The sequence below is a fragment of the Homo sapiens genome, chromosome 9 (assembly GCF_000001405.40).
Source record: "Homo sapiens chromosome 9, GRCh38.p14 Primary Assembly".
NCBI lineage: Eukaryota > Metazoa > Chordata > Mammalia > Primates > Hominidae > Homo > Homo sapiens.
The window spans coordinates 88,064,290-88,086,133 of NC_000009.12; the positions used below are offsets into that span (position 1 = coordinate 88,064,290).

Here is a 21,844-nt window from a genome sequence, read left to right on the forward strand (position 1 = left end):
GTTTCCTGGGTCTGAAGCTCCATCTCCTGTCTCTCTTGGATGCTGGACAAGAGCTGGTGGAATTTTTTCTTTCTAATCAGGGCATTTTTATTGCAACACACACATGTATAAAATTGCAATGTATTTTATATATCCTTCAATGGGCTTGAAATATTAATTTCCCAGCTATTTTACATAAAATTGATCATAGGAGCTCAGAGATTGGAAAACAAGGAGTAATGAGTGAAACAGTGAATTATATACCCCAGGGCTGCTGTCTACCTCCACTTCCAGGGCAGGTGGAGAACAGTCACTGTGGCGGGGAAGTATGTCTTTGTCAAAATTCACACTGTCCCATGTCTCCTAAATAAAAATCATCTATTAAATCTTGCAACATAGCCGTTTGCTTTCAAACAGGGAGTCTTGGGGATTTCCCATACTTAGAATTAAATTAAAACAATCTATTCTATCCCGCCAGATGTTCTGCTTTTGTGTCTGGACTATGTGAAATTGTGAGGAGAAGCAGCATTTCTGCCAAGTGCCAACACGTTTTAAACACTGAAGCAAGATAGGCTCTAATTTGCCTTAAGACTCAGTATTTTTTATTCAGCAGGTAAGTTTTTAGATTCTTAGACTAATGACAAAGAACACATCCCAATTCTTAGCCTTCTTTTTACCACTGGCTACACTAATACGATTTTAAGCACATTTTAACTTGTAGCTGGTAAGGTATCCTCCTAGTCCACACACCTGGGGTTTTAGCACATTTAATTTCTTCTACAACTTCCCTCCTAGACATGGCCCACTATCTTCCTCATGGCAAAACTTGTTTATGACAAATCTTTTATGACACTGAGTACCACTGCTTATGACACTCAGAATTCATGGTTTTGAGATTCAGAAGTCTTTTCTTCCAAACTATTATTTCTGCTGAGACCTTCAAAGTCCATTTTAAGACTCAATGTACTATCTCCATAGATTTCTCCCACCCCCTCCTCTAGGGCAGTGTTCTGTGTGGGAAATGCATGAGGGGAAAAGAAAAGGCACAGACAATACTTTTAAGGGTAAACAGCCTTTATCCCAAGTATATCGCAATACACGTATAATAAGCAAATGATATAATAAGCAAATTGCAATGGGAAGGGGAGACGGGAAAAGATATATATGTATATATATATTTACACTCACCAGACTATGGAGGATTCATCACCAGACCAGGAAGCAACAGCCTGGGCTCCAGAGTCGGCCACCAGTCTGTGCACAGACGAGGAGAGGTCTCATGGGTCTTTGGTGCGGTCTGGGACCCTAGCTCTTTTTGTAACAAGTTGTTTGGCATGAGGCCCAGTCATGAGGGCCCTTTGTGACTGGGCTCAAGGAACACAAAAAGGTCAACTTGTTTTTGCGATTGTCTGTTGTTTTTCAGTAAGTAACACATAGGAATAGTTTGAAATAGAGATTTCTCCGAAACAGGGCAGGATAAATGCCTCAAGGGACTCACACAACCTGTTCCCGGACTTGGTGACCATTGTTTGTGTCCACATTCAATTGAGTTCAAATTTAATATTTAACTTTTCCTCCACAGGCAGGAAGTGAGGATGTCAGCCAGGAAAAAAGGAATGACTGGATATGAAAAACATACTGGCCAATGTCAAACTAGACCAAAGCATTCTTTGAGTTTTGCCAACTTCATGAGTTTTGAGTTTTGAGTTTACTAAAACTCATGAGAATGACTTTACTCAATTTCAGTACTAGCAAAGGACTCCAGGTATCAGAGGTGAGAGAAATGAAATATGAAGTGAGACTATATGTAATATAAACAGAAAATTCTTTTTTTTTTTTCTTTTGAGATGGAATCTCGCTTGTTGCCCAGGATGGAGTGCAGTGGTGCCATCTTGGCTCACTACAACCTCTGTCTCCCGGGTTCAAGTGATTCTCCTGCCTCAGCCTCCTGAGTAGCTGGGACTACAGATGCCTGCCACCATGCCCAGCTAATTTTTGTATTTTTAGTAGAGATGGGGTTTCACCACGTTGGCCAGGCAGGTCTTGAACTCCTGACCTCGTGATCCACCTGCCTTGGCCTCCCAAAGTGCTGGGATTACAGGTGTTAGCCACCACGCCTGGCAGAAAATTCTTTAGTTCAGCATCAAAGCAGGAATTATTACAGCATTTATGGATATTTAGTTTTATTTGATACACTTGGATGCAACTTTACTCATTACCATTTTTAAACCCATGTTTGAAAGTTTTAAAATTTGGGTAGAGGCAGAAAGAGGAGGTTGAGTTGGAGATGCTGGGGGTAGTCAGCAGCTCAGTCATCGGTGCTTGTGGGCTTTGTTTGATCCAGGCCTTGACTCTCTCTGGAATGGGAGGCTTCGACGTCAAGAGGGAGCTGCTGCCACCCGTAGTTCTGAGCTTGAAGTTGCTAGGACTTCTTTCAAACTTGTGTGCTGAAGAGACTCAGATGTTGGTCTCAGCTCCTAGGCTGAATTCAGCAGATCGGCCCATGAAAAATCCTATATTGAGACAAAGCAAAGGATCTGTCAGAAAGCAACACCTATTGTCCTGGGCTTGACACCAAGGAAGAGGACAGGTAGTGGAAATCCTGCAATCTGAAAAGCAGACAGAAAGGTGACAAAGCAGCTGAAGATAGGTGGTGGAGAGAGGAATAACAACCCAGCTCCTCCATCTAGAAAGGAGAGTAAGAACTACCAGTAGCTTAATAGAAGACCAAGGATCAGAATTCCCCGATGAAGACTGTTTGTAAGAAGAAAGAGGACAGGGTTATAACTCATCAGCAACTGCCTGGCAAGCCATGCAAGATAAGGGGACTAACAAAACTTTTCCAAATAATCAAATTGGAGCTCTAGTTTGTCAAGTCCCAGCTTACTCTAAGATCTAAAGTTATGGCCAGGTGCAGTGGCTCACACCTGTAATCCCAGCACTTTGGGAGGCTGAAGTGGGTGGATCACCTGAGGTCAGGAGTTCAAGACCAGCCTGGCCAACATGGTGAAACCTTGTCTCTACTAAAAGTACAAAAAAATTAGCCGGGCATGGTGGTGGGCAACTGTAATCCCAGCTACTCGGAAGGCTGAGGCAGGAGAATCGCTTGAATCCGGGAGGCAGAGGTTGCAGTGAGCCAAGATCACACCATTGCACTCCAGCCTGGGCAATAAGAGTGAAACTCTACCTCACAAAAAAAAAAAAAACCAAAAATCTGAAGCTAACCAGAATGATGCCAGAGCCAAATGCAGTGAGCTGCCATCACCAAGTATTCTTCCCTAACCACCAAACCACTGGGTTCCTGATATGGTTTGGATCTGTGTCCCCACCCAAATATCATGTAGAATTGTAAACACCAATGTTGGAGGTGGGACCTGCTGGGAGGTGATTGGATCATGGGGGCGGATTTCCTTCTTGGTGCTGTTCTTGTGATAGCGAGTGAGTTCTCATGAGATATGGTTGTTTAAAAGTGTGTGGCATCTCCTCGCCTTCCTCCTGCTCCTGTCATGTGAAGTGCTTGCTCTCCCTTTGCCTTCCAACATGATTGTAAGTTCCCTCCCCAGAGGCCTTCCCAGAAGCTGATGCCACCATGCTTCCCATACAGCCTGCGGAACTGTGAGCCAATTAAACCTCTTTTCTTTATAAATTACCCAGTCTCAGGTATTTCTTTATGGCAATACAAAAATGGACTAATATACTTCCTATTGCCTTTAATCCTTTAGATAAGAAAATAAAGACATTTGAACGTAAAATCTAAAGTGCAGATATAGGCCAGGCGCAGTGGCTCATGCCTGTAATCCCAGCACTTTGAGAGGTCGAGGCAGGTGGATCATTTAAGGTCAGGAGTTCAAGACCAGCCTGGCCAACATGGTGAAACCCCATCTCTACTAAAAATACAAAAATTAGCCAGGTGTAGTGGCACATGCCTGTAATCCCAGCTACTCGGGAGGCTGAGGCATAAGAATTGCTTAAATTCAGGAGGCGGATGTTGCGGTGAGCCCAGATCATGCCATTGCACTCCAGCCTGGGCAACAAAAGCGAAATTCCATCTCAGAGTGAGATCCTGTCTCAAAAAAACAAAAAGTGCAGATATAAAATAAGATAAAGTACTTATGTTTAAATTTAATTATGTTTACAGATAGTTGTCAATTGGTCTGAAACAAATTCACCAGGGAATTAATCTATTTGCATAGAACTGCTAATTAATGTAAAAAATATGCCCGGGTGTGGTGGCTCATGCCTGTAATCCCAGCACTTTGGGAGGCCGAGGGAGGCAGATCACTTGAGGTCAGGAGTTTGAGACCAGCCTGGCCAACATGGTGAAACCCCGTCTCTACTAAAAACACAAAAATTAGCTGGGCATGGTGGCATGTACCTGTAATCCCAGCCACTTGGGAGGCTGAGGCAGGAGAATCACTTGAACCTAGGAGGTGGACATTCCAGTGAGCTGAGATCATGCCACTTCACTCCAGCCTGGATGGTAGAGCAAGACTTCATCTCAAAAAACAAACAAACAAACAAACAAACAAACAAACAAAAATATATATATATATGTACACACACACATAATTAGACTTCATCTCATCTGCTTTATGTGTTGCTTTATGTGTTGGGTGCACTGTGATGTAATGGTAGCATCAGTACAACTTAAAGTAACTAAATTAATAATTGTACTTGATATTAAATGTTCTCAACTGAGTAACTTTTAAGTGAAACCATTCATGTTTAGACCTAGGGAGTGGTAAAAGAACCAACTTTTTCTATTGTTGGGTTGAGGAAAATAGTAATATAAGATTATCAGTCATGGACAGTAAATTGCTGAAAGTTGCTGAATCAGATTATAAGCATCTAGCTAAGAATATAAAGATTGAGAAGTAGGTAAACATCTAAATGTTCAGTATACTAGAAATACCCAAGACGGTAATATGCCAACAACTTGATGTACTGTAAAATAAAAAGATGAAGTTTTCCTAATAGTTGCATTTTAGTAAACTGTACAGTGATGAAGGTGGAAAGGCCACTTGGGGCTCATTAGAATGAGGCACAGTATACCCCAATAGCTCTCTTTCTTAAATGCAGTGGATAGGTGTCTGCCAACAAATACACCAAAACCATTTTTACAGAAACATTATTTAATAGTGACTCAACAGCTTTCAAAATACACTTTTGTATTATAGCACTGCACAAGCTATTCTTTTTTTTTTTTTTTTTCAGAGTCTTGCTCTGTCCACCAAGCTGGAGTGCAGTGGTGCCATCTCAGCTCACTGCAACTTCCGCCTCCCGGGTTCAAGCAATTCTCGTGCCTCAGCCTCCCAAGTAGCTGGGTTAACAGGCATGGGCCACCAAACTTGTCTAATTTTTGTATTTTTAGTAGAGATGGGGTTTTGCCATGTTGGCCAGGCTGGTCTCAAACTCCTGAGCTCAGGTGATCCGCCTCCCTCAGCCTCCAAAAGTGCTGGGCTTACAGGTGTGAGCCACCATGCCCCGCCTGCACAAGCTATTCTTATGGTGATTTGGCCTCATTGTTTCTGCAAAGCTTGCTTTGGGGAGAGGACACTTACTTTGGGGAGTTGTATAATGTGAAAATTTTAAGTAACTAGGGAAGAAAGAGCCATGTAAATACATGTAATAAACTTGTAGCATATGTAAAGTTTTCTTGGCCTTTATCCTACAAGAATGAGATATTTTAGTATGAATTTGCTGAATGTAAGAGCGTGGACTTGTTTTTTATACTATGGCCTACTTTTAAAGGTCCAAAACAAATTTTTAAAAAGTTTGCCCTTGTGCTAAAGTGCCAGTGTCTGTATATTATACTTGATTTGGTTGTAAACTATATTTCCAAGTAAATCCTAGTGTAATAAGTTTTAGAGGTAAAAAGGCTTCAGCTGCTAAAACACTATTTGTAGGAGATGTGAAATGTAGTATAGGACAATTTTTTTTCCTTCTCTAAGCCCAAAGATGTACCACTAACGGGTCCCTCCAACCTTAAAGGTTCCCTTTGGCTTTCACCAAGTCTTACAACCTATGATACAAAGATAGTTTAGAGTATGGTGCCAGCAGTGTTTGTTTTTCATTTGGTCAAGAATAAGCGCAACCCAGGGCACCACTTATGCAAAAGATGTAAACTCCTGCATAATACCTTGATAGGATGTTTCAACAACCTTAAGGGTAAATGCTATATATAAGTTAACCCAATAGCAGGTTAAAAGAAAAACGTATGTGGGTAAATCTAAAAATTCTGATTGTAACAAAAAGCTGGTTCTTTGAAACAATAAAATTCATAGATCATTAGTGAGATTAACCAAGAAAAGAAGACAGAAGATCCAAATAACCTCAATTAGAAATGAAACAGAAGGTATTACAACTGATATCACAGAAATACGAAAGATTTAAAGGCTATCTTGAACACCTGTATATGCAGAAACTAGAAAACCTAGAGGAAATGGATAAACTCCTGGAAATGTACAACCCTCCTAGATTAAATAAGGAAGAAATAGAAACCCAGAAGAGACCAATAACAAGCAGTGAGATTGAAGCAGTAATTTAAAAAAATTGCCAACAAAAAAAAAAAGTCCAGGACCAGATGGACTCACAGATAAATTCTAGCAGACATTCAAAGAATTGGTACCAATCCTACTGAAACTATTTCAAAAGATAGAGACAGAGGAACTCCTCCCCAAATCATTCTATGGAGCCACTATCACCCTACTACCAAAACCAGGAAAGGACATAAGAAAAAAGAAAACTACAGACCAATATCCCTGATGAATATAGATGCAAAAATCTTCAACAAAATACTAGCTAACTGAATCCAGCAGCATATCAAAAAGATAATACATCTTTTTGATCAAGTGGGTTTCTTCCCAGTGATAGAGGGATGGTTTAACATATGCAAGTCAATAAATGTGATACATCATATAAACAGAATTAAAAATAAAAACTGTATGGTCATCTCAATAGATGTAGAAAAAGCATTTGATAAAATCCAGCATCCCTTTATAATAAAAACCTGCAGCAAAATAGGCATAGAAGGGACTTACCTGAAAGTAGTAAAAGCCATATATGACAAACCCATATGCAACATCATACTGAATGGGGGAAAGTCGAAAGCATTCCTCTGGAGAACTGGAACAAGACAAGAATGCCCTCTCTCACCACTTCTATTCAACATAGTACTGTAAATCCTGGCCAGAGCAATCAGAGAAAAGAAAGAAATGAAAGGCATCCAAATTGGAAAAGAGGAAGTAAAACTCTTGCTATTTGCCAATGATGAATGTATACTTAGAAAACCCTAAAGACTCATCCCAAAAGCCCCTAGATCTAAAAAACAAATTCAATAAAGTCTCAGGATACAGAACCCATGTATACAAATCAGTAGTACTGCTATATACCAACAACGACCAAGCTGAAAATCAAATCAGATTAAGAACTCAATCCATTTTACAACAGCTGCAAAAATAAAATACTTAGGAATATACTTAACCAAGGAGGAGAAAGATCTCTACAAGGAATACTACAAAACACTGCTGAAAGAAATCATAGATGACACAAACAAATGGAAACACATCTCCTGCTCACGGATGGGAAAAATCAATATTGTGAAAATGACCATACTGTCCAAAGCAATCTACAGATTCAATTCAATTCCCACCAAAATATTATCATCATTCTTCTAGAAAAAGAAAAAGATATCATGATCATCTAGAAAAAACAATCCTAAAATTCATATGGAACGAAAAAAGAGCCTGCATAGTCAAAGCAATACTAAGTGAGAAGAACAAATTTGGAGGCACCACATTACCTGACTTCAAATCATACTACAAGGTTATAGTTACCAAAACAGCACGGTTCTGGTATAAAAATAGGCATGTAGGCCAGGCGCAGTGGCTCACGCCTGTAATCCCAGCACTTTGGGAGGCCGAGGTGGGCAGATCACAAGGTCAGGAAATCAAGACCATCCTGGCTAACATGGTGAAACACCGTCTCTACCAAAAATACAAAAAATTAGCCGGGTGTGGTGGCAGGTGCCTGTAATCCCAGCTACTGGGGAGGCTGAGGCAGGAGAATCGCTTGAACCCAGGAGGCAGAGGTTGCAGTGAGCCGAGATTGCACCATTGCATTCCAGCCTGGGAGACAGAGCGAGACTCTGTCTAAAAAAAAAAAGAAAAATAGGCATGTAGACCAATGGAACAGAATATAGAACCCAGAAATAAAGCCAAATACTTACAGCCAATTGATATTTGACAAAACATACAAAAACATAAATTGAGGAAAGGACACTCTATTCAATAAATGGTGCTGGGAAAACTGGCAAGCCACATGTAGAAGAATGAAACTGGATCCTCATCTCTCACCTTATACAAAAATCAATTCAAGATGGCCAAACACTTTGTATTAGTCTGTTCTCACATTGTTATAAAGAAATACCTGAAACTGGGTAATTTATAAAGAGAAGAGGTTTACTTGGCTCATGGTTCCACAGGCTTTAGAGGAAGCATGATGCTGGCATCTGCTCGGCTTCTGAGGAGGCCTTAGGAAACTTTCAGTCATGGCAGAAGGCAAAGGGGAAGCAGGCACAGGCATGTCTTACATGGCTGGAGCAGAAAGAAGAGAGAGTGAGATGGTGGGGAGGTGTCACACACTTCTAAACAACCAGATCTCCTGAGAACTCTTACCATGAGAACAGCACCAAGAGGATGGTGCTAACCCATTCATGAGAATGCCACCCACATGACTCAGTCACCCTTCATCAGGCTCCACCTCCAACACTGGGGATTACAATTCAACATGAGATTTGGTGCGGATCCGGACACAGATCTAAACAATATCAAACTTAAATCTAAGACCTGAAACTATAAAAATTCTAGAAGATAACATCAGAAAAACTCTTGTGGACATTGGCTCAGGCAAAGAATTCATGACTAAGACCCCAAAAGCAAATTCAACAAAAACAAAGATCAATGGGACCTAATTAAACTAAGAAGCTCTGCATAGCAAAAGAAATAATCAGCAGAGTAAACAGACAACCCACAGAGTGGGAGAAAATACTTGCAAACTGCATCCAACAAAGGTCTAGTATCCAGAATCTACAAGGAACTCAGATCAGCAAGAAAATAATAATAATAATAATAATCCCTTCCAAAAGTGGGCAAAGGACATGAATAAACATTTCTTGAAAGAAAATATACAAATGGCCAACAAACATGAAAAAATGCTTAACATCACAGATCATCAGGGAAAAGCAAATGAAAACCACAGTGAGATGAAACCTTACTCCTGAAAGAATGGCCATAATTAAAAAGCCAAAAAACAACAAATGTTGGCATGGATGTGGTGAAAAGGGAACACTTTTACACTGCTGGTGGGAATGCAAATTAGTACAACCACTATGGAAAACAGTGTGGAGATTCCTTAAAGAACTAAATGTAGAACTACCATTTGATTTGGCAATCCCACTACCGGGTACCTACCCAAAGGAAAACAAGTCATTATATGAAAAAGACACCTACACACGCAGTACAATTCACAATCGCAAAGACAAAGAACCAACCTAAGTGCCCATCAACCAATGAATGGATAAAGAAAACGTGGTACATACACACCACAGAATACTACTCAGCCCTAAAAAGGAATGAAATAATGTCTTTTGCAGCCACTTGGATGGAGCCTGAGGCCATTGTTCTAAGTGAAGTAACTCAGGAATGGAAAACCAAATATTGTATGTTTTCACTAATAAGTAGGAGCTAAACTATGTGGATGCAAAGGCACAGAATGATATAATGGACTTTTGACTCAGTGGCGAAGGTTGGGAGGGGGGTGAGGGATAAAAGACTACATATTGGGTACAGTGTACACTGCTCGGGTGCACCAACATCTCAGAAACCACCACTAAAGAACTTATTCACATAACCAAAACCACCTATACCCCCAAAACCATCGAAATTAAAAAAAATTTAAATTCTGATTGTTAATGCCCTATTTTCTCATTTGGCACATTTTTTGATGTTTATAAGCAGACAGCTAAGTTGTATTTCTCCAAATAAATTAAGATGAAATAATATTGCCCAAGTTAAATACTGATATCCTAAAGACAAGTTTACATAGCACTTAATGTACGTAATATAAATTTGAAGCATAAAATTAGAAAAATAAAATTTTCTCCCCTCCTTTCAAAAAAGTTTTAAAATTTAATTGTACCAAGACCTTTAGCAGCAGATTCAGTAATAAAAGTCATGAAGATTTAGGAAGATATTTAAAATATTGAAATGTAATTTAATCTGTATTAACTCATTTCCTAAATATAAAAGCATCTCAGATAATCAAATTGTAATATTTATTCAAGAAAAGAAAGACTATGTCACTGATCACTGTAAATATGTGGGGATTTTTTGTAATTTTACCTTGAGGCTAGTTTTCTTTTGATTTTACAGGTCTCTTAAAACATACATACACACATACACATGGACACAGACAAGCACACACAAACACTTGCACATTTGCACACACTTGCACATTCATGTGACATGTGCACACATACGGACATGCGCAGACATGCACGTGTGTGCACATGCCGGGCAGTGTGAAGGTGATAGATTATTTCAACAACTCTTCTATCAAGACAATACCAACTGTTATGCCAATCCAGGAATTCATGGGACAATTTTTAAAGGCAAAATTTAGGCTGGCATGGTGGCTCATGCCTGTGGTCCCAACACTTTAGGAGCTGAAGTGGGAGGACTGCTTGAGGCCAGGAGTTTGAGACCAGCCTGGGCAACACAGCGCGACCTCTTCTCTATAAAAAAATCAGCTGGGTGTGCTGGCACCCACCTGTAGTCACAGTTACTCAGGAGGCTGAGACGTGAGGATCGCTTGAGCCCAGGAGGTAGAGAGGCTGTAGTGTGCTATGATCACACCATTCCACTCCAGCCTGGGTGACAGAGAGAGATCCTATCTCAAAAAAAATTTTTTTTAACAATAAGCATTTTTAGATTTTTGGGGAGTTCCTTTCAAAATTCAAAATTTTAAGTAATAATACACTTATCGAGCTTCTGTATTTATCAACCTCGATTTCTTTTGCAGTGGCTTTCCATTATAAAAGAGGAAGGTTTAGCTGATTAAGGCTACTTGTCTTCTTCCTCCTACTTTGCTGTGCTTATTATTATACTTAGTTTTCCTATAGGTTAACTAGATTTAAGCAATATGCTTGAACTTGAATTTCTTGTTCTGTAAACTTAGACTGTATTAACTGCCACACCACGATGTGAATGAGGCTCTTAGCCCCCCTACCCTACCCTCTTTCCCCCCTGCCTCTGTATCTTATCTTCTTCCAGTTAGACACGTATTTATTTTTTTACTGATAGACTTTTTCTTCATTTTTAACAGCTGGTATTTTTAACATGCTACATATTTCACCCATTGTCAGTAAATCTGTAGAGTTGTGTAACCATCACTGCAATATAGTTTTAGAATATTTCCATCAGTTCAGTATACTTTTATTTCTCTATTGCCAAAGTAAATATCATTTAATCCAGTCCTCTAACCATATTTGAGTTTTCTGGGTTTCATCTATAAATTGATTGAATACGTAACACCAGAGTCTTATTAATACATTGTCTTGAAACATGTCCAGGGTAAAACTAAAGGCACAGAATTAATCAGAAAGCATTCCATTGAAAGTACCAATCAATAGAGTGAAATTAGACTTCAACAGCTGCAGCCTGTTACCGCCTAAGGATAGGTTGTATGAGGACTCAGGAGGACCTGTTGTTGAGGTTAGGATGAAATGTTTGTCTAAATTCCCTTGAGAACACCACGCTGTCCTGGGATAGAAAGCCAGGCTCTGCTCATTGCCCACTCCCCGCCTTCCCTCCCACCTCCCGCCCTTCTGATCCCATTAATTGCTCTTTTTGGCAGGGTCGAGTGGTGTCAAAGCAGACGTCTGCTCGGTGTGGCCGTATTTTTGTGAGCGGAGCTGCTTTTGTGAGCGCTGCGTCCCTGCAGCATCTCTGCACTGACGCGTGGAGTCGCCGAGAAGCTGCCTGGCGGCTCCAGCAGCCTCCACGCCTAGAGGGCTGCGCGTCCGGGATCGCAGCGCCTTAGCGTCTCCTTCCCGCCTCCCTCCGCCCTCCCGCCAGCGAGCGCGTGGCGCCCCGGAGGTGCAGGGTTGACCAGGGTGCACCCCTCTACTCCTAAGCCAACCTAGGCAGGGCCCTTCCAGTTTCTGCCGCAGCATTTCCAGCCCCTCGAGCCCCTGCAGCTCCTGAGGGTAGCTCAGCAGCCAGCCCAGCGCACCCTCTTCCGGGGCTAGCGCGCACTCCCTCGGCTCTGCTTGCGGTCCCTCGGTGTCCTTCTGCCCCTGGCAGAAGCTCTCACACCACCCTCCCTTCATTTCCCCTGCCGGGCGGGGCTCGCTATTCAGCTCCCTGTGCTCAGTCTGACCCCTCAGCCTGCTGTACCCGCAGGCTCTGCGGAATGAGCCCGGGCCCCAGCCCTTGCCCTCCCGCCCGCCACCACGTCCCTCCTCCCGCCTGGAGCTTCCAGGGCCCTGCCGCGGGCCCCTGCATCTCCCGCCAGGCCGTCTCTCTCTGCCTCCGTCTCCTGCAGCCCAGCTCCGCCTCATTCTCCATTCCTCGCCCAGAAACCTGTACATTCTGTCCGCGGTCGCCGCCTGCGGTTCCTCCACGTCACGCAGGCAGACGCCAGGCTCCGCCAGCTCACAGAACTGCTCTTGCCGAACCCCGAAGGCCTCCACCTGGTTGACCTTGGCAGCCAGCCCGGCCTTCCTTGGCAGTCAGCCCGGCCCTCCTCGGTCCTGACTTTGGGGCCGCTGCCTCCCGCCAGCTCTGTCTTCGCCTGGTTTCAGGGCCCGCACCGCCTTTGCCGGTACGGCCTCATGGCCCGACCCCTGGCCTCCAGACCCCAGGATCTCCCCCAACACACCGGCCCCTGCCCAGGCCACCCGTGTCAGCTCGGGGCACCTCTATCCTTGCACTTGTTCAGACCTCCAGTGACCTCTGAGTCTTCTCTCCCCCAGTTTTCACATCCCACCCTCCAGCGTCCTCCTTTCTCAAGAAGGATCTAGATTCCAACCCGCTCTCATCCCCCACGGTGCTACCTGCCAGTTCTCTCTGCCTCTAGGGTGTCCTTGCTTCCCCTCCTGGGCCTGGCTGGGATCCTTGTAATGTGGTGTGTGTGCTCCCGACGGTTGGCTTCCATCTATGAAAAGGCCAACATCAGGAAGCTGCCTAGGAGGCCGCCTGGCCCACGACCTTTCTAACCCATGTCCACCTACTCCCACCCTCCACCCGGTGATCATGGCCTCCCCTCCCCCCACCCTTCAAACCTGCCTCCAGGTCCCCCCCAGGGCCTTTGCACCAGTTAGTCCCTGTCTTAGCTCAGGGTGCCGTAACAGAATCCAGACGGGGCAACTTAAACAACAGAAACGCATTTCTCACAGCTCTGGAGGCTGGAAGTCCAACATCAAGGTGCCTATAGATTCCATGGCTGGTGAGGCTTCTCTCCTTGGCTTGCAGACGGTCTCCTTCTGGCTGTGTCCTCTCATGGGAGAGGGGAGAGGGGAGGGAGAGAGGGAGACAGAGGGAGCGGGGGAGGGGAGATATCCCTAGCGCTTCTTCCTGTTCCTATAAGGACACAGTTCTATTGGATCAGAGCCCACCCTATGACCTCACTTAACCTTTATTACCTCCTTATAGGTTCTGCCTCCAAATGCAGTCACACTAGGGGTTAGAGCTTCAACATACAAATTTTGTGAGGACACAGTTTAGTCCATAACTTTCCCTCTGCCCAGGTGGCTCTCCCTTGAATATCTGCAAGGCTGACCTGTCCACCCCTTGAACTAGGCCGTATGTCGCTGGAGTCCTCTTTACTACAACCACCTGGAGTTGGGGAAGTAGCCATCATGTAGGAAAAATTAGCCTGTGATTGTTGGTGGATGCTGGGTAGTATAAAACAGAGGTAAAACCAACAACAACAGACTAAAAAGCCCAGATGGCCACAAGTTCAGTTGCCATTTGTAGCAGGAGATGGACATTGGTGCATCCACCCGACACCACATTTCCAAGGATGCTGCATTCCCAAGTGAGCTGCCAGACCAAAATACAGACGGTGCTGATTTAAACATCTGTGATGAAGCAGTGAGCAGTTACACATGGCGAGAAGGAGGAAGGTTAAGGAGCTTTGAGAGGAAGACTTCTGTAGGCAGCCGTGTGCTGTGAGCCCCTCCTCCTGCCTTGTCAAGGGCTTGGGTAGGGGGAGCTTGTCTTCTTGCCTCAGGCTCGGTGAAGTTCAGCTCAACTGAACCTCTGGAGTTTGGGGGATGCAATGGCTGGGGGATAACTCCTGCCCAGGGAAACACAGAGGGCAAAACAGATGGGCTGGCAAACTGCTCCTTGGTGGGAAGGTGTGTGGGGAGGTGTTTCTAGGCACCAGTATGAGCCAGCTTACTTCTGGATCCATGTGAATGACATTTCTTTTTTCCCTTTGCTTCATCCCTCCACGTGCTCCAACCTGGGGGACCATGGAGCACTGTTGGCAGGTGAGCAGAGAAGGAACCAGGAAAGAGAAAAGGACCACATGAGGCCTTTCCAAAATCACTGTTTTGGAGAATGATTTATGTACAAGTTGCACCTATTTTAAGTGTGCAGTTGCTAAGTTTTGACGAATATGCACCACCAGAGAGGAAATTCAGAATGTTTTCATTGCCCCAGAAAGCTCCCTGGTCCTCTGCAGTCATACAGGATGCCCACAGGCCACCACATGCTGTTACTAAGGTGTGCAAAATGCCATTGCCTCCCTCTAATTTCAGTGTGCTTTCTTTGTTTTACTTTATCCGGGTCAAAAAAAACCTTGGGGCTGGAGGTGAGCAACTTTCAATTAGACCTGAGCCCTCCTACCATATTTTCCTTCCCTGAGGCCCCATGGACCTTCTTGGGACTTGTGTATTCTCTGCAGGAAGGGGACATATTGGGTTAGTTACCGTGTGTCCCACAGCCTGGCTCTGAACTTGGTGCTTAGCAGGGAAACTCAAACTAAGGTACAGACAAAACACCTCGACAGGCAGAGGAGGAAGCAATATCCAAGTTGTCAGGGAGAGGAGAGGGTTGGTTTGTAAAGGACTAGTCTATACACCTTAGAAAGTGACCCCAGCAAATGTGAGAAAAACATTGTAGAGTCACTGTTTTTAAGAGCTGCAAAACCAGCTGGGCACGTTGGTTCACGCCTATAATCCCAGCACTTTGGTAGGCCAAGGCGGGCGGATCACGAGGTTAGGAGTTTGAGACCAGCCTGACCAACATGGAGAAACCCCATCTCTACTAAAAATACAAAATTAGCCAGGCATGGTGGCACATGCCTGTAATCCCAACTACTCAGGAGGCTGAGGCGGGAGAATCGCTTGAATCCAGGAGGCAGAGGTTGTGGTGAACCAAGATTGTGCCATTGCACTCCAGCCTGGGCAACAAGAGCGAAACTCCGTCCCAAAAACAAAACAAAACAAAACAAAACAAAACAAACAAACAAACAAAAAAAAGAGCTGCAAAACCTTGACAGTCAATTTTGTCTCTCCAGTGGAGACTATTGACTTATTCATTTAATTCACTAAACAATAAATAATTACGGAGAATCTACTTCATGTTGGGTGCTGTTTTAAACATATGTGATCAAGCGGCGAGCAGATACACCTGGTGCCTGCCTTTATGAAGCTCGTAGTCTGATGAGGTTATTGATAGTAAACAAATTTCCATGGATATCCGTCAGTTTCCCCTCACATTCAGTGGCTTAAATCCACCACCGTTTTATTGTTGTACATGATTCTGTGTGTCATCTGGGCTGGAAGGGCCTTCCAGGCTGGGTCAGCTTGCGTGGTCTCTGCTCAGCTCTCTCCTCTGTCCCTGGTCAGTTAAGGAGTGGGCTGGCGCTGGCTGTTGGAGGATGGCCTTACACATGTGTCTGCCAGTCAGCAGGTCTTCTGCCAGGGAGCCTTAGCTCTTCTGCACATGACCTTCCAGCGTTCAGAAAGCTGATTAGGATTTGGTGGTCTTGGGCTTCCAGTCATAGCAAGAGAGTAGGCCCTGATGGACAAGCACTTTTCAGATTTCCTCTTGTATTCATGTTTGTGAATGACCCATTGGGCAAAGCAAATCACACCGCCGACTCCCATGCGTAGACTCTACCTCTTGATGGTGCGATCTGTAAGGTCACATTACGGGGGGGCTCCTACTTACTCTGGGGCATAGAGAAGCCTCCCATGTGCAAGTGGTATGAGTAGGAGGTTTCTGGGTGAAGGTTAGTGGGATCTGCAAAAAAGAGCATTTGAGGCAGAGGGACCAGAATGTGCAAAGGCCCTGAGGCACTAGAGGGCACCCAGCACTCAGGAAGATAATGAAGCCCAGGGTCAGGAAACTAGATATATCACCAGGGACTAAACCACACAGGGCCTTCTAGACCAAGCAAGGACTCTGTATCTTTTTTTTTTTTTTTTTTTTTTTTTTTTTTTTTTTTTTAGATGGAGTCTCACTCTGTCACTCAGGCTGGAGTGCAGTGGTGCAATCTCAGCTCACTGCAACCTCCACCTCCCTGGTTCAAGCGATTCCTCTGCCTCAGCCTCCCAAGTAGCTGGGATTACAGATGCACGCCCCCACGTCTGGCTACTTTTATTGTATTTGTAGTAGAGATGGGGTTTCACCATGTTGGCCAGACTGGTCTCGAACTCCTGACCTCAGGCAATCCGCCCACCTCAGCCTCCCAAAGTGCTGGGATTACAGGCATGAGCCACCGCGGCCGGCCCAGGACTCTGTATCTTAATCTCCGAAGGTTGGAGGCTGGTAATAAGCAGATTTGGGTTTGTCCAACCACCCTGCTTATAGGGCGGAGAATAGATGGTGGCTGAGCAGTGCATAAGGTCATGTGCAGGGTGAGCAGTGAGGAGGATATCAAGTTGGTCCAGGTGGGAGAGGATGGTTTGGAACAGGTGGGAGAGAAGAAAAGAAGCAGTCCCAGAGATGCTCAGGAGGTCAAATGAAGAACATGTATGAGACACTCGGCAGTTTTTAAAAATGGCCACAAATTCTTTGCAGCCCCTCCCATCAGGTGGGGAGTGGTAGGGGGTGTTCCCATCCTTTTTATTTGGGCAGGCTGCTCTGACCAACAGAATATGGCAGAGGTGACCCTATTTGTGATATTATGATTTCATATATTATATATATATATACACACACACACATATGTATACATATGAGTCCTAAACCAATATATATACACATATATATATACATACATGCACACATACATGTGTATATATGTGTGTGTGTGTCCACAGTTTCTGGCTTGTATTAATAACTCCCATAACCCTTGTTACAGTCTTTTGTTATAGTGTTGGGACACTTTGGGCCTCAGAGGCAGGCCTCAGGAAACAGAACCTCTCTCTGCCCTTCTCCTGCCCATCTTTCATCTGCCAAAGGCAGGACTTAATCTGATTGTGGGTCGAAAGACTCCCAGTCCAGAGAGGCCCCAGCTTCCAACCCTAGAGGAAGGAAGGCTACATAGAGAGGCCGAGAGAAGTCTGAACAGACAGGCAGGACTTGCCAGGTTTAGATCATGTGCTTTTTGTCCAATCACATTTTTACATGGTTGTCAATCATCCTAGGAAATGAGTCCTCCATAAAAACCCAAAAGGACAGAGTTTGGAAAACTTACCTCCAGAGAACTGAACACGTGGAGGCTGACAGGAAGGTGAGCAAGAACCCATCCACATGCCGGAAGGGTGGCACACCCCAACTCCACAGGGATGGAAGCTCCTGCCCTGGGGACCCTTCTAGACCTGCCCTGTGTATCCCTTCATCTGGGTGTTCATTTGTATCCTTTAACATATCTTCATAATAAGGCCAGGCGCAGTGGCTCACGCCTGTAATCCCAGCACTTTGGGAGGCCAAGGTGGGCGGATCACCTGAGGTCAGGAGTTTGAAACCAGCCTGACCAACATGAAGAAACCACGTCTCTACTAAAAATACAAAATTAGCCGAGGGTGGTGGCACATGCCTGTAATCCCAGCTACTCGGGAGGCTGAGGCAGGAGAATCACTTGAACCCGGGAGGCGGAGGTTGTGGTGAGCCGAGATCACGCCATTGCACTCCAGCCTGGGCAACAAGAGCGAAACTCCATCTCAAAAAAAAAACCAAAATATCTTCATAATAAACAGGTAAATACAAGTAAGTGTTTCCCTAAGTTCCGTGAGCTGCTCCAGCAAATTAGTGAAACCCAAAGAGGGAATTATGGGAACCCCACCCTGAAGCCAGTCAGTCTGAAGTTCCAGAGGCCTGGACTTGAAATTGATGGGAAGGAGGAGAGGGGGCTTGTGGGATTGAGCCCTCAACCTGTGGGATCTGATGCTATCTCCAGGTAGATAATCTTGGAATTGAATTAGAGGATGCCCAGCTGGTGTCTGCTTCTTGGTGTGTAGGGAAAAAAACCCTTCATTTGGTCACAGAAGTCTGCTGTGTTGATTGGTGGTGTGTTGGTGTGAGAGAAGAAAAAAATTAGTTTGTTTTTTCCCAAACACTATGGGATTTCTGATTCTGGACCATAGAAGACCACGCAGCTTCTGCCTTCATTATCAGACACTCACTCTCACAGCCGTGGGTCCCTGTGTAAGAAGAATCCACATCCACCTGAGGTAGCCATGCTGGCAGGAAGTCCAAGCTTCACAGAGAAGCCACACGTCAGAGCTCCAGTCCTAGCTCCATCCAGCATGTGGATGGGTTCTTGCTCACCTTCCTGTCAGCCTCCACGCGTTCAGCTCTCTGGAGGTAAGTTCTCCAAACTCTGTCCTTTTGGGTTTTTATGGAGGACTCATTTCCTAGGATGATTGACAGCCATGTAGAAATGTGATGGGACAAAAAGCACATGATGTAAACCTGGCAAGTCCTAGATGAGTTCAGCCTTCAAGTCAAAGCTTCACTCACTTCTTCAAGTGAATAAAGAAGCCTCTGGTGATTCCAGCCCCTGCCATTGGAGTCCTTTTACCTGTGATCCCAGACCTTGTAGGGCAGACAAGCTGTCCTCTCGGGGCCTGTTCAAAGTCCTGACCTGAGAATCCAGATAGCATTGTTGATGTAAAAGGAAGAAACTGAGGCAAAATTAAAACCAACAGTTTATTTGCGCCATGGTTGAGGGCTGTGCCCAGGACAAACTTCCCAGGTTGCCTTGGAGAGTGTTCTGGGGAACAAGGGGGAGGCTCTGGTTTTCAAAGAAAAAAGGATGAATCAGGAGAGGGGATATTACAAAAGTTGTTTGTCAGGAATTCTCATTGGCTTTCAGAAATAACATTGGTTAGTAATTAGCTACACATTGTTGAACCAACCATAGGATGTATGGCTTCGTTTTTTGTTTTTTGTTTTTTGTGATGGAGTCTCGCTCTGTCACCAGGCTGGACTGCAGTGTCGTGATCTCAGCTCACTGCAATCTCTGCCTCCCAGGTTCAAGCAATTCCCCTTGCTCAGCCTCCCGAGTAGCTGGGACTACAGGCACACACTACCACACCCAGCTAATTTTTTGTATTTTAGTAGAGACGGGGGTTTCACTATGTTGGCCAGGATGGTTTCCATCTCCTAACCTCGTGATCCGCCCATTTTGGCCTCCCAAAGTGCTGGGATTACAGGCGTGAGCCACCTCTCCTGGCCAGATGTATGGCATTTTATGGCTACTTGTTGTCAGTTAGCCTAGAGTCCACAAAGCAAGGGGCTTCAAAATATAACTATTTAGCTCAAGGGGGAGACATAAGACTGCTGTTTCATTCCAACACTTCTCTGGGCCTGATAATTTAAAGGGGCTCATATTCCTCGGATAAAAAGTTTGTTTTCTTCTTTTCTTTTTTCAGCATAATAAAATGGATGTTGTTTTACGCCACTGATTTTTTTAAAACTTTTAGTTTATTTATTTTTTAGAGATGGGGTCTTGCTCTATCACCCAGTCTGGAGAGCAGTGGCACGATCATAGCTCACTGCAGCCGCAAACTCTTGGGCTCAAGAGATCCTCCCACCTCAGCCCACCAAGTAGCTGGGACTAGAGGCACATGCCATCTCAACCAATATATATATTTGTATTCTTTGCAGCAGGGACAAAGATAAAGATACGAGAGGTGTTGGGGTGAGTTGCAGAGAAGAAGGCAATAAGTTCTATGGTCTCGTTTCCTGTCTGTTAAAATGGTTTTCGTGAAGGAGGTAAGATGTCAAGAATGACGTGTGAGACACTGGGAGCTCCTTTCTGGCTGGCAGTCAGTTGGAGCAGGGATTGGAAATGTGAGTGGACTAACCCTCCTGAATGGTGATGATGTGCCTGGGAAAGGGTCCTGATCCAGACCCCAAGAGAGGGTTCTTGGATCTCATGCAAGAAAGAATTTGGGGTGAGTCCATAAAGTGAAAGCCAGTGTATTAAGAAAGTAAAGGAATGAAAGAACAATGACTCCATAGGCAGAGCAGCCCCAAAGGCTACTGCTTGGCTATTTTTATAGTTATTTCTTGATTGTATGCTAAACAAGGGGTGACTTATTCTTGGGTTTTCGGGAAAAAGGGGTGAGCAATTCCTGGAACTGGGAGTTTCTCCCTTTTTTAGACCATATAGGGTAACTTCCAGATGTTGCCATGGCATTTGTAAACTGTTGTGGTGCTGGTGGGAGTGTCTTTTAGCATGCTTATGTATTATTATTAGCACATAATGAGCAGTGAGGACAACCAGAGGTCACTTTCATCACCACCTTGGTTTTGGTAGGATTTGGCCAGCTTCTTTACCACAGCCTTTCATCAGCAAGGTCTTTGTGATCTGTATCTTGTGCTGACCTCCTGTCTCTCCTGTAACTTAGAATGCCTAACCTCCTGGGAATGCAGCCCAGTGGATCTCAGCCTTATTTTATCTAGCCCCTATTCAAGATGGAGTTGTTCTGGTTCAAATGCCTCTGACAATGAGAGGGCAGATGGGGGCTGGAGGAGACCAAACCCCAGCAGCCGGGGTGTCCAAGGCCATTGGCTCTCGTCCCACCGAGCACTGGGTGGAAGTTGAGTCTATACTGGAGAGTACGATAGTGTATCTAGATCAAAGTGCTTTGAGTTCAGAACGAGGAAAAAGAGCCTTATGAAAAACGATGGGACTTAATTATTTTTCTGGACTATTTATCCTTCGTTTGTCTTTCTACATAAAGACAAATTCCAAAGAATATTCATTGATTCATTGATTTAAATAATTTTCTAGTGGGAAATTCAGCACTTAGTTTCTAGAGGAATGAAAGGTACATGCCTGAAAGGACTTCTCTCTCGTTAAAAAGTGTGATTAGGGGATTACCCAGAATGCTCTGCGTTGCATTTCCCTGTGGCTTTCATTACAGCCGCTCCTTCCTCAGCAGGTTCCATAATTATACAAATGTCTTAGCATTTCAAGTGTTTCATTATTCATTTGTTGCTCACCAAGATCACCTAAGGCCTATTCAGCTGCAGAGATGACTCGCTCAATTCACTGGCTGTGGGTTTAATTTTTGATTTGGGTCTTTTATGTTTCGTAGGAAAGATGAAAATGAAAGATAGCATTTTATGCTTGCAGACTTAGCTTTTATTCTTTATAGTCTTTATATGTGATCCTACAGACTGTTCAGTGCTTGATTCTAGTTGTACTTGCTTGCAAATGGTAGGCCCCATCATTGTAAGCAATTTTGTCTACTTGAAATATCTAATTTACTGTCATTCCTTCATCTAAGCAACAGTCTCTTCCCCATCCTTTGGGTCTCAAGGCCATGGTACCATCTGCTTCTTCTATTTAATCATTCTGTAATAAAATGTTCAGTGAAACTCATTTCGGAATCCCA

At 44.3% G+C, this 21,844-nt stretch overlaps 1 protein-coding gene and 1 long non-coding RNA gene across 3 annotated transcripts in view, besides 2 other annotated features; both read right to left on the reverse strand.

Moving 5' to 3' along the window:
- The window catches only part of LOC124902201 (syncytin-A-like), a 40,433-nt gene extending 26,822 nt beyond the window's left edge, over positions 1-13,611 (reverse strand). The window contains exons 1-4 of the mRNA XM_047424307.1: positions 13,434-13,611; positions 13,094-13,194; positions 4,355-4,452; positions 1,168-2,492 (exon numbers count right to left, since the gene is read on the reverse strand). The gene's annotated coding sequence lies outside the window, so the exon portion shown is untranslated. The remainder of the gene's footprint in view (positions 1-1,167; positions 2,493-4,354; positions 4,453-13,093; positions 13,195-13,433) is intronic.
- Positions 2,146-13,611, reverse strand: LINC03026 (long intergenic non-protein coding RNA 3026). Of its 2 annotated transcripts, NR_135137.1 has the most exons (3): positions 13,434-13,611; positions 13,094-13,194; positions 2,146-2,492 (listed from the first exon to the last, which is right to left on the reverse strand). It is a non-coding gene; the product is annotated as a long intergenic non-protein coding RNA 3026 (long non-coding RNA). The 2 variants fall into 2 exon arrangements; NR_135138.1 differs by lacking the exon at positions 13,094-13,194.
- Positions 5,206-5,762: an enhancer, noted in NCBI's record as "OCT4-NANOG hESC enhancer chr9:90684410-90684966 (GRCh37/hg19 assembly coordinates)". NCBI's record gives its function as "activates a minimal SCP1, AML or CMV promoter by ChIP-STARR-seq in primed H9 embryonic stem cells {active_cell/tissue: H9 hESC(primed)}" and the evidence as "EXISTENCE:reporter gene assay evidence [ECO:0000049][PMID:30033119]".
- Positions 12,309-12,859: an enhancer, noted in NCBI's record as "H3K27ac-H3K4me1 hESC enhancer chr9:90691513-90692063 (GRCh37/hg19 assembly coordinates)". NCBI's record gives its function as "activates a minimal SCP1, AML or CMV promoter by ChIP-STARR-seq in primed H9 embryonic stem cells {active_cell/tissue: H9 hESC(primed)}" and the evidence as "EXISTENCE:reporter gene assay evidence [ECO:0000049][PMID:30033119]".
- Positions 13,612-21,844: the final 8,233 nt, after the last annotated feature.